At 37.9% G+C, this 15,878-nt stretch overlaps 1 protein-coding gene across 14 annotated transcripts in view; it reads right to left on the bottom strand.

Annotated features, from left to right (window-relative positions):
* Positions 1-15,878, bottom strand: part of PKP4 (plakophilin 4) — a 224,478-nt gene that overhangs the window by 198,994 nt on the left and 9,606 nt on the right. The window contains exon 2 of one of the 14 annotated variants that reach the window (NM_001377221.1): positions 4,521-5,192. The exons of the other annotated variants lie outside the window; for them this stretch is intronic. The gene's annotated coding sequence lies outside the window, so the exon portion shown is untranslated. The remainder of the gene's footprint in view (positions 1-4,520; positions 5,193-15,878) is intronic. 14 annotated transcript variants of the gene reach the window in all.

Here is a 15,878-nt window from a genome sequence, read left to right as displayed (position 1 = left end):
GGTATGTGCCTATAATTCCAACTACAATGGAGGCTGAAGCAGGAGGATCACTTGGGTCCAGGAGTTTGAGTCCAGCCTGGGCAACATAGCAAGACCATGTCTTGGAAAGGAAGGAAGGAAGGGAAAGAATGGAGGCAGGGAGGAAGAAGGTAAAGAGAGAATTTCAGGATATAGCACATCTAGCTTAGCACTACTTGACTGAACTTCCTGTGATGATGTGGAAATGTATATTTGCAGTGTCCTGCATAGTAGGCACTAGCTATACGTGGCTACTGAACACTTGAAATGTGGCCAGTATGACCAAGTAACTGAACTCTTTATTTTAATTAATTTAAATGTAAATAGCTACATGTGACTAGTGGATATATTTTAGACAGCACAGGTACGTAATTATGGCATGAGCGATCACAACTGAAAACTCTATAAACTTTACCAACATTATTCCAAGTAGAATACAGTAAAATATCACTAACATTACAACAGTTTTTAAAATCAGACACTAAAGTTATAAAATAATTTGGCACCATTTCAATAATACAAGTAGGTGAATACTGTTCACCTGTATAAACCAGTTTTGCTTATTTTTATGTCTTATGTGGCAGTCAACTCTCCACGTACATTTTACTTATATATTATCAGTCAATTCTACAAAATTCTCTCCCTAAAAGTAATCATAGTACTTATAATAGCACTTGAAATACGTCAATTTTAAAAAGGGCAAAGGATTTAAATAAATATTTCTCCAAAGAAGACATACAAATGGTCAAGAAGCACATGAAAAGATACTCAAATGTATCTAGTCATTAGGGAAATGTAAATCAAAACTACTATGAGGTATCACTTAACACCCACTAGGAAAGCTATAATTGAAGACAGACAATAACATGCGTTGGTGAGAATGTGGAGGAGTGGAACCCTCATACTCTGCTAGTGGGAAAGTAAAAACTGTGCAGCTGCTTTGGAAACAGTTTGGGAGTTTCTCAAAAAGTTAAACATAGAGCTTCCATATGACCCAGCAACTCCTCTCCTAGGTATATACCTAGAAGAACTAAAAACATATGTTCACACAAAAATGTACACAAATGTTTATAGTATCATGATTCATAACAGCCAAAAACATGGAAACAATCCAAATGCCCATAGCTGATGAATGGATAAACAAATGTGGTATAACCATGTGATGGAATATTATTCACACATAAAAAGAAATGAGGCCAGGTGTGGTGGCTCACACCTGTAATCACAGCACTTTGGAAGGCTGAGGTGGGAGGATTGCTTGAGCTCAGGAGTTCGAGACCAGACTAGGCAACATAGTGAGACCTCATTTCAATATTTAAAAACAAAAAGTATAATATCACTTTTAAAAAGAAATTAATTTAAAAAGAAACACTGATTTATGCTACAACATAGATGAATCTTGAAAACATGCTAAGTAAAAAAAGTGAGACACAAAAGGACATGTACTACATGATTCTATTTACATGAAATCATGAAATGTCCAGAAGAGGCGAATCCATAAAGACAGAAAGATTAGTGGTTCCCAGGTGCTGAGGGGAGAGAGAAATGGTAAATGACTGCTTAATGAGTATGGGGTTTATTTTTGGTGTGATAAAAATGTTCTGGAATTAGATAGGGATGGTGATTGTCCAACTTTGTGAATGTACTAAAAATCACTGAACTGTATCCTTTATAGGAGTGAATTTATGGTATGAGAATACATCTCAATTGTAATATGCACTTCAATTCTTAGTTTTAAAATTCTATTAATTTCTTATTTATATAATTTTTCATTAAATATCTCGGGTGTGGTTTTTATTCCTCTTAAAGAAATGCTGGCCATTTTAATAAATCATTTTTCTGTAAGTAGAAACAACTGGAAAAAAAAAAAAGAATCCCAGAGGCCAGGCGCGGTGGCTCACACCTGTAATCCAGCTACTTTGGGAGGCCAAGGTAGGTGAATCACTTGAGGTCAGTAGTTTAAGACCAGCCTGGCGAACATGGTGAAACCTTGTCTCTACTAAAAATACAAAAATTAGCTGGGCGTGGTGGTGGGTGCCTGTAATCCCAGCTACTTGGGAGGCTATGGCAGGAGAATCACTTGAACCCAGGAGGCAGAGGTTGCAGTGAGCCGAGATCGCACTATTGCACTCCAGCCTGGGCTACAAGGTAAGACTCTGTCTCAATAAAATAAAATAAAAATAACTAAATAAATAAATTCCATATAGGAGGCAAATTTTGAGTTGCTAGATACTTAAAATTAAGACAAAAGGAACTATTTAACAGAAATCTTTAAAACCTGTGAGTTGGCACTGACTTATGGGTAGAAAAACACAGGCGTGTACTCCTGACCTAGGGATATGGGACAGATCTGCAATTTGGTGCTCTTTGTAAAGCAGTAGCAGTTCAGAATCAACGTCTAAGAAGATGAATCTCCCCTTTCTGATATCCTCCTCAGCTGACGAAGGATACAAACATTTAAGCCACATGAGCAGCCCCGGTTGTAGCTAGGGCAGAAGCAAAACTGTGGAACCAGTTTATGGGCAAGCCCTAGATTTCAATATTAAGTCAAGTAAACAGAGGAATCATAAATGCTTTAGATACACATTTCCATGTCATGACTTGGAAAAAGGATTGCTTGTCTGGGTCATACAGTAAACCAGAGACTAAAGAATAAATCAAGAGTTATTAATGCTTTTTATTCACCTGCCATCAATGACAGAATATAAAGCTTTTTTTTCCTTAATACAGTTGCTATTAGTTGAACTCCTTTCCAAATTGATAAAGACATCACCATGATTCTCATTTTAAGTACAAAAGTGACAGTCTGCCTATAGAAGCTTAATAAGACTATATTAAGGAAAAATAAAATTAAAAAATGTTAAATTACAAAATAAAAAATTAATTTTAAAAACTGGGCTGGGCAGTGGTTCACGCCTGTAATCCCAGCACTTTGGGAGGCTAAGGCGGGCCGATCGCTTGAGTCCAGGATTTCAAGACCAGCCTGGGCAACATGGCAAAACCCCGTCTCTACAAAACATACAAAAATTAACCGGGCATGGTGGCATATGCCTGTTGTTCCAGCTACTCGAGAGGCTTAGGTGGAAGCATCGCTTAATCCCGGGAGGTGGAGGCTGCAGTGGGCCAAGATTGTGCCACTGCACTCCAACCTGAGGGAGACCCTGTATCAAAAAAAGACAAAAAATAAATAATAATAATAAAATAAATTTAAAAATTAAATGCTGAATTTAAAAGTTAGCTAATGTTTAATATCTAAATTGTTTGAGAATTAAAAAGGTTTAAAAAACAATACTACTTAGGTAACTCCTACTAATGGAAAAATAAAAAGAATAGAAACCTCCTCGAGAATGCTGGCTTGGCAGCCTAGCCTAGAAAGGAATAGAAACAAGTCTCTCCATGGAAGTACTTAGTGGGTGGGATTTACTAATTCCAATACTGGGGAAAATGTGACAGGAAATCATAACTGTAACAAAGATTTTCCACATCTAAAAGCCCATGTTTATGGAGATACAGATATGTAGTAAAAATAAAAACATAATGAAGAGGATAAACACCAACTTCAGAATCCTTAAGCAAACTTGGCAAACAAGATTTTAAAAATATGAATAATAGTTTCATGGGCACTCCATACATTATTCTCTGTACTGTCCCATATTTAAAATGTGCCATACAAACCCTAAGCAAAAAGTTTAATTATCATTAGTGTTCATCAGTTTCATTTACAATAAAAGTTCAAATTATGTTTTTTAACAGTTACCAAAATACTATGTGGATAATTCACATTTTGCTTGTGCTTTATCACAATGAATTAAGGTTTAAGCCATCACTGATAACTTAGGCGATCTATCCAAATATTTAGAAAACTACTTAACAAAAAACGATGAGCTATTGCCAAGGCAGAGAGCGGTGGGCAGACTACAGGCTTGCTGATGATTCCATTTATCTTGATTAGGACAGCACTTAGTACGACTCTTCTAAAACATGTTAATGTCTTTAAACACAAGAATGTAAAAAACACTACTATCGGCATAGTCTAAAGGATTTACTATGAAAATCAAAACCACAGCACGTCATCTGCTTGTGAAAACCCCATTTTACAACATTCTAACTCACTGAATGGGAGAAACAAAACATACAACTTAATACAATTACTTTTAAGGTTCAGAAGTAATTTTTCTGAATGCTTCCCTAATCAAAAAAAAAATCTAAATAATAATGTCTTTAAAATCTGGGATAAAGCTATAAGCTCCTATTCAACAGCCTTACATCTTATAGCTAACATGAGGTTAACATTAAGCTTCAAACCACACCCTTTCAAAACAAAACTGCAAATTTAAGATCTCTAACCTTTGCCAGTCTATTTTAGGACACTGAAAACATTTTTTAGCCAGAACTAGAAATTTCTCTTAGAACATAAGAACTGAGGGAATAAACCTTGTCCCTGGCTTATCAGTTATATATATGAAACATTAGTACAGTCATCAATTTATTTATTGGCATACCTCAGAAGCTGGTCTATAGCTCAGTTAGCATGAGGCTTTGGACTTTTGGTTTTTTTTGAGAGATGAGTGTCTTGCTATGTTACTCAGGCTGCAGTGCAGTAGCTATTCACAGGTAGGATCACAGTGTACTGCAGCCTCGATCTCCTGAGTTCAAGTAATATTCCTGCCTCAGCCTCCCAAGTAGCGTTGATTACAGGCATGTGCCATCATGCCCCAATTTAACCATTTTTTAAACCAGGATATTGTTGCCAGGAAATTGGACTTCAGCCTAATCCCAGTTGATCAATATGACAGCAGAATTTCAGGAAACCTTACTTTAAGACTGATACTTCTTTCTTCTTTACGGGGTCTATCCCCTGATGCTTGACTTCCTGAGGTATCAGGCCATAATTACTAACTCAACGGTACAGGAGCTGATACTTTTGCTTCAGTTAAGTAGTTCATTCATTTTGGCATGGTTTCCTTCTAATTTCTTATTTGTCAAAAGCACACCTCCAGCTGAGTTGGCTAGATCATTTCCTGTTTTTTCAATTAGTAGGGGAGAGGAGAAGCAAAGTCTGATATTTCCGGCTAGATAAGCTGATGGGAAACAAGGTACCTAGCCCAGGCCTTCTGATACAGGTATGCATGTTGACCCTCAGGGACCATGTCTCCAGATCTCAAGCTCTTCCCCTGTAAAAGGAAAGAACTGCATATGGTGATCTCTAACATCTTTCCTTGGTCTAAAAGCTTGCGATTCTACAAGCACTAACCTCAGTGTCATCTTCAAATAAATGTGGTCATATCTGTGGCTTAACTTCAAGGCAGTCATAAACTAGAAGTGGAATTTCATTATTTATAAAAGCAAAAAAAAAATTGTCCAATTTTAAGGGATGAATTAACATTTACAAAGAATTCTATTATACAGGTGTTCACAGAACAAAGAATATAATTCTTTGTAAATGTTTTAAATATTTGTGTTAGAAGAGCATTTAATAGAGTAAGAATATGATGATTATTAATTCCAATTCTTTTAGATATGTACATGCAGAGGCTTAGAAAATAAAAACCTCCTGGAAGCATATAAAACAAAATGACATCAGTGGTCACCTGTGAATGCAGCTAAACTATACTCGGGTTTTACTTTCTTCTTTTGTGCTGCTCTGTATTCAAAGAGTTTTCTGCAAATGCATGGATTTCATTTACAATCAGAAAAAAAAAAAACTATTTTAAAAGTGAGATCGCCTAAACTTGAAACAGCAGGTCTCTAATCTGAGACTATTTTATTTCAAATAAAATCTTCAGGGGCTGAGTACAGTGGCTCACACCTATAATCTCAACACTTTGGGAGGCAGAGGTGGGAGGATCACTTGAGGTCAGAAGTTCAAGACTAACCTTGGCAACACAGCGAAATTCTGTCTCTAGAAAAAAATAAAAAATTAGCCAGGCAGGGTGGTGTATGCCTGTAGTCCCAGCTACTTGGGAGGCTGAGACGAGATGATCACTTGAACCCAGGAGGTCAAGGTTGCAGTGAGCTATACTCACACCACTGCACTCCGGGCTGGGCAAGAGTGAGACTGGTCTCTAAAAAAATAAAATAAAACTTAAAAATCATCAGAGGATGAGCCCCCAATTCAAAAGTGCAGGAAAGGAATCATATGACATCCCAGCACATTTTTCGCTGTACATGTGGATGAAAACCAATAACATGAATATAAAAGTAAAATCCTATTTTTGAAATTCAGTTACTAAGATACAATCGCATGTGTACCTACAACACACCCCAATGATTTCCTGATTGCATCTAAAAAGATTCAGTGTACTGGTCCTCTGAAAGGAAAATAGCTGCTTTAATATTCTAAGTTAAAAAGATAAGGATGTTTCTTTGTCTTTATTGCAATGAAAACGAATTCTATGAGAGGAAGGGAGAGACAAGAACTATTTGAAAATCTGATGAAAGCTATAATTGCCCTCAAAAGGCTCCTTGATTTTGTGGACTGTCCCTATTAGAGAAAACTATTCTAAATATCTGAAAATTTATGTGAATCATAACAGTCTGTATTGGGTTGTGATTCTTCCAGAATCAGACCCCAAGACAAGAACTTCAGTGCATGTAGTTTATCTGGTAGGTGGATATGGGAGATAGGGCAGGGAAGTCCATAAGGGGTGCACTGAGTCAGTTTTCACAGTGAACAAATGGGTCTTACTTCCACTGGGCACTTCTGCCAGACTACAAAGAACACACCTCAAAGATATCCCAACTAAGGGGTGAAGATGCTGAGCTACTGACTGAGGGTTGCTCCTGCAGGGATAACCCACTGGCACTTCTTACCTGCCCCAACACAGGTAGGTGGCAGAGAAGTCTTCTGGCTAAAAATTCTAGAATATTGCAGTAGAAAGTTGTCAGGTCATTTCAAGTGCCACAGGATGTGGACAGAGCACAGACAGAATCTGCTGCCAGGTTGTTCCTACCTACTGAGAACAATAAGAAAGTAAAAATGCCCTTACTGAGATTAAAATGCAAACCTCTGTGTCTAAAACACTGGGCACCTACTCTATGCCAGGTACTGTGCTGGGTGCTGAAGACAAAAAAAAAGAATGAATCAGTTTCATGACTTTTAAAGTCCACAATCTAGTGAGGAAACAGCATATAGATATGTTATCAAAAAATAATAAAACTCTAATAAAAAGATTTAAAAAGTGGCACCAGGGGTCCTTGGCGTTTCAAATGGAAAGGTGAACTTCCTTAAGACAGCTATAAAAGTATCTAACTTTTCTTCTAGTAGAAAGAGCAGAGATCTTACCCTGGTGACAACAAGAACAAAAAACACAACACAATCGCTAATTCATGATTTTCTTTAACCCATCAGAGAGCTGATATCTCAGTATAACTAACTAGCCTGAAATCTAAGGAAGGAAAGGCATCTCCAAGGTTGGACTTGCTTACCTGGGACAGATGATGCTGGACACTAGTAAAAAGAACTGAGTTAAAAATGTTTAGCAAATTGCTAAATGTTGAATGTGGGCAGGCAAGAGAATACAGAACCCCACAAGGCATCAGTCAGGTGGTGAATTCATACCTCTTGAGGGCTCTTCTACATGGACCTCCCCTGATGCTAATTTTAAAAAGATTGGCCAGAGTCCTGAGAAGGCCTCCCACTGAGTGCGGGGCTGGGGAGGGGAGCAGCAGCTAGTGTGGGAGAGGCAAGAAATCCTGCCTGGATCCTCCTCTCCTATCTCTACTATGGAACAGCCTTACACTGCTGAGGGAAAGGCAAAAAACCCGTCTTCCTTAGGGCACTGGTGAAAAACCATTGCAAATGGGAAACAGGCAGTAAATTTTCATTTCCAAAATGAATTACGGAAAACATTTTATGCACAAGCAGTTGTCAAATTATTCTTGCCTTCACTTAAAATCTCATGGTTTTTTAAAAAATTTTTTATTGGGCTTAACTTTGACACTTCCGATGTAATTCTGTGAATTCTCATCAATAACTGATTTCTGAGGCCCAATGCTAGGAGTGGGCAGGGGTTCAGTAATCAACACAGCCTAGATCTTTTGGTTCTAATAGCTTTGGTATTATAATGTCTTAGAAGTGATATCGTTAACAGCAAGTGAGCCTCAGGGATCCCAAAATGTCATTACTGATTACAGAAAGACACGATTGTTTTCACCTATGTGGCAGCTTCAAGTCAGCCAGAGTCTTGTACTTTCGGAGCTTCCCTCTGTCTTTGCTCAGACCTCTAGGGGCAGCAAACGTGTAAAACGCAGAATATCTGTCGTCGAGTAGCTTCTGTTAAAACTTGTTAATGACTATGAGGATGAAAGAAGTAAAACAATTGTTCTGGTCATCTTTGAGTTGTAGTTTTACTTTGGGAATTAAAATGAAAAAATACCCAGTAAACACAGAAATTTTATTCTGTAATGCATATAATAAATATAATTCATTTAGTATCACCTTGCTTCATAACCAGTGAAAAATCAGAGTCCTCCCCTTTCCTTAGGTTTTTTAATGCTGACCTTGCAAGCCACACAAATTTTACCTGATTTTAAAATTTCATAAGCTAGCTTCAAAGCAAAAAATAAGCTAAGATACAATCTGAATTGCTTTAAATGGATATATATGTATTTTAAACTTTTAGGTTCAGGGGTACATGTGAAGGTTATGTAGGTAAACTTATATCGCTGGGGTATGTTGTACATATTATTTCATCACCCAGGAATTAAGTCCAATACCCCAGAGTTACCTTTTCCGCCCCCTCTCTCCTCCCACCCTCTACCCTCAAGTAGACCCAAGGGTTGTTTCCTTCTTTGTGTCTGTGACTTCTCATCATTTAGCTCCCACTTATAAGTGAGAATATATGGTATTTGGTTTCTGTTCCTGAGTTAGTTTCCTGAGGATAATAGCCTCCAGCTCCATCCATGTTCTTGCAAAAGACCGGATCTTGTTATTTTTATGGCTGCATAGTATTGCACGGTGTATATGTACCACATTTTCTTTATCCAATCTGCCACTGATGGGCATTTAGGTTGATTCCATGTCTTTGTTACTATGAATAGTGCTGCAATGAACATCTGTGTGCATGTGTCTTTATAGCAGAATGATTTATATTCCTCTGGGTATATACCCAGTAGTGGGATTGCTGGGTCGAATGGTAGTTCTGCTTTCAGCTCTTTGAGGAATCACCATACTGCTTTCCACAATGGTTGAACTAACATACACTCTCACCAACCGTATATAAGTGTTCTCTTTTTTCTGCAACCTCACCAGCATCTGTTATTTACTGACTTTTTACTAACAGTCATTCTGACTGGTGTGAAATGGTATCTCATTGTGGTTTTGATTTGCATTTGTCTAATGATCAGTGATACTGAGCTTTTTTTTACGTGCTTGTTGACCACATGGATGTCCTTTTTTGAAAAGTGTCTGTTCATGTCCTTTGCCCACTTTTAAATAGGGTTGTTTTTCTCTTGTAAATTTAAGTTCCTTATAGATGCTGGATATTAGACCTTTGTCAGATTCATAGTTTGCAAATATTTTCTCCCATTCTGTACGTTGTCCCATTACTCTGTTGTAAATGGATATATTTTAACATTTCATGCTTGTAACATTTAACATAAATCTATGCTATAGTCTGTAGCCTTTTTTTCACTGCTTTTAAAAAATTAGATGACTGGCTTCTTCACAGGAAAAGCATAGGTTGCAATGAGTATGCAGATCTTTTCCTTTTCTCTATCTGACCCAATTTGGTTGAAAAGACATAAAAACTGATATGGTCAGCCTGAAGATAGTTTTTAATTCTTTTTTTTTTTTTTTTTTTTTGAGATGGAGCCTCGCTCTGTGTCCCAGGCTGGAGTGCAGTGGCTTGATCTCTGCTCACTGCAAGCTCCACCTCCCAGGTTCCCACCATTCTCCTGCCTCAGCCTCCCGAGTAGCTGGGATTATAGGCGCCTGCCACTGCCCTAGGCCAATTTTTTTTGTATTTTTTTAGTAGAGACAGGGTTTCACCGTGTTAGCCAGGATGGTCTCGATCTCCTGACCTCATGATCTGCCCGCCTCGGCCTCCCAAAGTGTTGGGATTACAGGCGTGAGCCACCACGCCCGGCCTAATTCTACTTTTTAAAATTCATTTTAAATTTTTTAGAAACTAAAAGATAAAATTGTATGTATTTATTGTGTACAGCACGATGTTGAAGTATACATACATGTGGAATGTTAAATCCAGCTTATTAACAAATGCATTACTTAACATAGCTGTCATTTTTGTGGTGAGAACCCCTAACATCCACTCTCAGCATATTTCAAAAATATATTATCATTAACGATATTCACCATGCTGTGCAATAGATTCCTTGATCTCATTCTTTCAATCTAACTAATTATATATTCTTTAACCAACATCTTCCTATTGATTCACTTTCAGTTCTGTGCTAAGCTTCCTAGATAGCGCTTTTTGGTACAGAAAAAGAGCTGAGGAAGAATGCATTTTTACTCTATACCTTTCAGAAACCACTTGATAAGCTATATTTAAATTTTGGCTATGAGTAGAATGAGACCAAATAATTTAGGCATGTTTAATTTTTCAATAATCAGAAGTGTTTAAATGCCATTGTTAAGTTTAATGAGGTATCTAAAAAAGGAATTACTTTTCAATGACTAGTTCTTTTTTCTTTGAAATAATGCTTAGTTCAATAAACGGCATTTAATAGAAGAAATAAATTGTCCTGATTTTGTAACTATGAATAAGATTGGAGAAATATTAAAACAGGCATTCACTGATATTTAGTTGGATGATACTGCTTATGTCAAATCAACTAGAAGAGATGAATCTTACTTCCAGTATGTCTTCTCTCATGTGTGATGAGCCTCTGCTACTGCAGTGATGTGCACAATTTGAAATAAAGCACAATTCTTCATGTCAGCACTTGAAGGCTTTTTTTGACAATGAGCAAAATGTTAGACATTTCAGTGTGAATAGATCTCATGATCCAGAAAATACGAGCAGACAATCTAATTGTTCTTGACTGTAAAAATTAAATCTGATACTAAATTTAATCCAGGAATCTATTCATGTAGGGTTTTTCCCCCATTTTAAACAAAAATTAAACTTGCACGCCTAAGCATCTACACTGATGAAACATTCTGGAAGAAAATTCATGCTATGTGATTTACAACCTATCCTCCTTACTCCCTGATTTCTTTTAATTCTATTCTTTGGCTTTCCTCACTCCATCCATTACCACGCTTAAGTCCACTCTATCTTAAAACTTTTTCAACCAAAACCTTGTTTTGGGCCATCATTCTCTCTCCTTCACCTCCAAGGCTCTGAGAGATTCCTCTGCTCATGGTGGGTGCAGAGTGTTTGCTGAGGAGCTAGTTTGGTGGCTGGGGTGAAGGGGCATTGAAGCTGTGTTTGTAGCAAGCATGCTGTTTTTAAATTGGGATGGCTTAACAATACTCTCAGAAATTTTCATTCTCAATGGTTTTCACCAGTGCCCTAAGGAAGACTGGGGTTTTCTGCCTTTCCATCCTCGGGTTGCTGCTCCCCTCCCCAGCCCCGCACTCAGTGGGAGGCCTTCTCAGGACTCTGGCCAATCTTTTTAAAATTAGCATCAGGGGAGGTCCATGTAGAAGAGCCCTCAAGGGGTATGAATTCACCACCTGACTGATGCCTTGTGGGGTTCTGTATTCTCTTGCCTGCCCACATTCAACACTTAGCAATTTGCTAAACATTTTTAACTCAGTTCTTCTTACTAGTGTCCAGCATCATCTGTCCCAGGTAAGCAAGTCCAACCTTGGAGATGCCTTTCCTTCCTTAGATTTCAGGTTAGTTGTTTATGATATTTCAACTCTCTGATGGGTTGAAGAAAATAATGAATTAGATTGTGTTGTGTTTTTTGTTCTTGTTGTCATCAGAGTAGGATCTCTGCGCTTTCTTTCTTTCTACCACAAAAAAGTTAGATACTATTACAGTATCTATTTGAACTAGGTCTTGAAGGACTTTGAAGATGTGAACCTAGAGTGGAGGGAGACAGAGAACAATGAGTAGAAACTAGACTTGCTGATGTGGAGGGTTCAGGAAGGAGAGTAATTAAGGTTTGACTGTAACGGGCCTTATATGGTAGGTCGCTGGGGAATGTGAATATGATCCAGCAGGGTAAACAATGGAGAGCCACTGAAGGTTAGAAGAGAAGGGGATAACTAAGGTTGTAAACAAAGTATTTAAGTATTCATTCACTCAAAGAAAGCATCGTTGCTTACTATATGTTAGGAATACTGCTACATGAGAGAATTACAGTGATGGCTATGACACAGTTCTAACCTGCTGAGAGCTCAAATAGCCAGGAAACAGACACAGAAACTATTCACAATGTGACAAGTGTTCAAAGCAGAGTTATGTGCAAAGTGATGACAAGCACAGGTGGGAAGGTTGAAATCTGGAGTTGGGCAGAGCGAAGGGCCAGGGAAGGCTTCATTAAAGAGGGGTCATTGAGTTAGACCCTGAAGAAGAAAAACAAGGGCTCACCAGGCAGAGAAGGACATAACAGGTAATCACAGAAAAACCTTCAGGAAATACACAACTTATTGGGAGGATCATATTTCTGTGAAAGTAAATAGTGCTGAGGTTATATCATTCAAATACAGAAAATGGATCAAATCCTTAAAAGCACCATATTAAAAATGAATGTTACTGTATAGCTATATTTTAGGACTGATTGTACAGTCAACACTTACCTTCTCAGCTAGGATTCTGGAAGACTGAAGTATTGATAATAAAAATATTAGAATGAACATAAAAGTAATACTGAACAAAGTATAAAGCTTGTTAAGTAATCTGATGGTATTTTAAACTATGAAAATAAAGATTTGACCTTCAAGGTAGAAAAGACATTAATAAAAACTAACCAAAGTATCAATCACGAAGACTTCATTTAGCCAGATGCAATTTCAACATATTTCTCTGGCAGAGGTATGTACAACAGTCACACAAAAAGCACGGTGGGAAGGAGGGGATAAGAAAATCACTTTAGAAAATGTCTTTTCTGGCCGGGTGTGGTGGTTCACGCCTGTAATCTCAGCACTTTGGGAGGCCAAAGCAGGCAGATCACCTGAGGTCAGGAGTTCGAGACCAGCCTGACCAACATGGCAAAACCTCATCTCTACTAAAAACACAAAAATTAGCTGGGCATGGTGGTGTGCACCTGTAATCCCAGCTACTCGGGGGGCTGAGACAGGAGAATAGCTTGAACCCAGGAGGCAGAGGTTGCAGTGAGCTGAGATCACCCCACTGCCCTCCAGCCTGGGCAATAGAGCAAGACTCCATCTCAAAAAAAAAACAACAAAAAAGTATTTTCTGGCTAGGTATGGTGGTTCATGCCTGTAATCCCAGCACTTTGGGATGCTGAGGCAGGAGGATTGCTTGTGGCCAGGAGTTCGAGACCAGTCTAGGCAACATGGCCAGATCGCCCCTACAAAAAACAAAAACAAAAAAATTAGTCGGGCATGGTAGCATGTGCCTGTAGTCCCAGGTACTCAGGAGGCTGATGCGAGTGGGTCCCTTGAGCTCAGGAATTTGAGGCTGCAGTGAGTTATAATAGTACCGCCACTGCACTCCAGCCTGGGTGACAGAGTGAGACCCTGTCTCAAAAAAAAAAAAAAAAAAAGAAGAAGAAGAAAAGAAAATGTCTAATTTCTTTTCTTCTAGGAATGAAACAATCCTCACCTTTTAAAGTATCAGGTATGCTTACTGGCTTCAACCTAACGACTGGATTAATTCCAATCACATAGGAAAATACTGTCTTCATCTTACATCCTCACCTTGCCTGTTAACATGGTGCACTATCAACATTTTTTTGCAAGAATATTACCTATGATCATATATAAGTGAAATTCTGAAAGAGCCAACATTCATGATTACATTTTAAAATATAATATTGTTATAGAAAATTAAATGTGCCTGCTATCTAAAGAAAAAAATATAACAAAACCAAACAAATCCTGAAGCCAAGCTACAAAGCAACTTCATGAATTCTACTTAAAATCAATGGGGTTTTCCTAAAAAATAAGGTAAACTTATGGGAAGTACTATTTGTAAAACAGTAACAAAAGATAAAAGACTTGATTTTATAGACAAGTTTTTGTAATTTACCAAAGCTATAAATCTACCTTACAAAATTCTTTATTTTAATTCACCAACACATTGATAAAGATGGCTGGATTACTGAGGTCTCAGATAATTCAGTGCATAATGTAGAAAGAAAGTTTTAAAAATTATGATTCAATGCAGCAATTGTATTCCTGGGCATTTCCCCCAGAGAAAAGTATACTTATGCTAAACTGTACATACATATTCATAGCAACTCTATTTGTAATAGCTATAAGTTGGAAACAACAGGTGAATGGTTAAGCAAACTATGGTACATCCATATTATGGAATATTACTTGGCTATAAAACAGAACAGACTATCGATACACGCAGCAACCTGGAATAATCTCCAAAGAATTATGCAAAATGGGAAAAAATATCCCAAATCACATACTTTATAAATCTATTTATATAATATTCTTTTTTTATTTTTTTATTTTTGGAGATAGAGTTTCACTCTATTGCCCAGGTTGGAGTGCAGTGGCACTATCATAACTCACTGTAGCCTCAACCTCCTGGGCTCAAGCAATCCTTCTACCTCAGCTTCCCAATTACCTGAGACTACAGGCACATGCCATCGCACGCAGCTAATTTTTAAAATTTTTTTTAGAGACAGCGTCTGGCTATGTTGCTCAGGCTGGTCTTGAACTCTTGGCCTCAAGTAATCTTCATATCTTAGCCTCTGACAGTGCTTAGATTACAGGAGCGAGCCACCGTGCCCACATTTTTTTTTTTTTTTGACAAGGTCTCACTCTCTCACCCAGGATAGAGTGCAGTGGTGAGATCATGGCTCACTGCAGTCTTGCCCTCCCAGGCTCAAGTCATCCTCCCACCTCAGCTTCCTCAGTAGCTGTAACTACAGGTGTAGGCCACTAGCATTCTTAAAATGACAAAACTATAGTTGTAATGAAAAATGAATGGTTGCCAGAGATTTAGGAGGCGATGAGAGTAGGAGAGATGAGCGTTGTGGTGATGGAAATGTTGTGTATCTTGATTACATCAATGTTAATATCCTGGTTGTGACATTGTAATATAGTTTTCAAGATGTTACCACTGGGGAAAACAATATAAAGGGTACACAGGATCTTTCCTTCTGTAAATTTTATTACAGTGATTATGTGAGGTTGGGAAAGGGACAACCAAAATGTATAAGAATATTTCTATCTACTATATTAAGACCAAACAAAGGTTTACTTACTATACCAACTAGGTCAAAACAAGCTATGAAATTTTGTTTCATTACTCTTAACATTTATGTAATTTTATAGTACCAATAACCCTTAGCATTTTTGTAACATTTCCCCTTTGAAAAACTTCATGTGCTTTAAATTATATCTACTTCTGTCTTAACTCTTCAACTGAGTATACAAAGATATTACTGATTCACAAAAGGTACAGATACAGAAAGTTTGCTCAATATCACACTTTCAAAGCTTAGCTTAGTCTTGGTGCTTGATTGGTGCCTATTAGTAGTATGATAAAGAGCATTATGAAAACTCATCTCACTATGGTTATAATCCAGGCAATTAAGTTTAAAATGAATATGAACCAATCTGTTTAAAATCTTCTAATTAATTTCTTTTTGAAATGGAGTTTCGCTCTGTCACCCAGGCTGGAGTGCAGTGGTGCAATCTCTGCCCACTGCAACCTCTGCCTCACGGGTTCACGTGATTCTCTCACCTCAGCCTCCCAAGTAGCTGGGACTACAGGCGCCCGCCACCACGCCTGGCT

The sequence above is a fragment of the Homo sapiens genome, chromosome 2 (genome assembly GCF_000001405.40).
Source record: "Homo sapiens chromosome 2, GRCh38.p14 Primary Assembly".
Taxonomy (NCBI): Eukaryota; Metazoa; Chordata; class Mammalia; order Primates; family Hominidae; genus Homo; species Homo sapiens.
The sequence above is the reverse complement of the archived record's forward strand: the minus strand, read 5'-3'. Positions and strand labels throughout refer to the sequence as shown.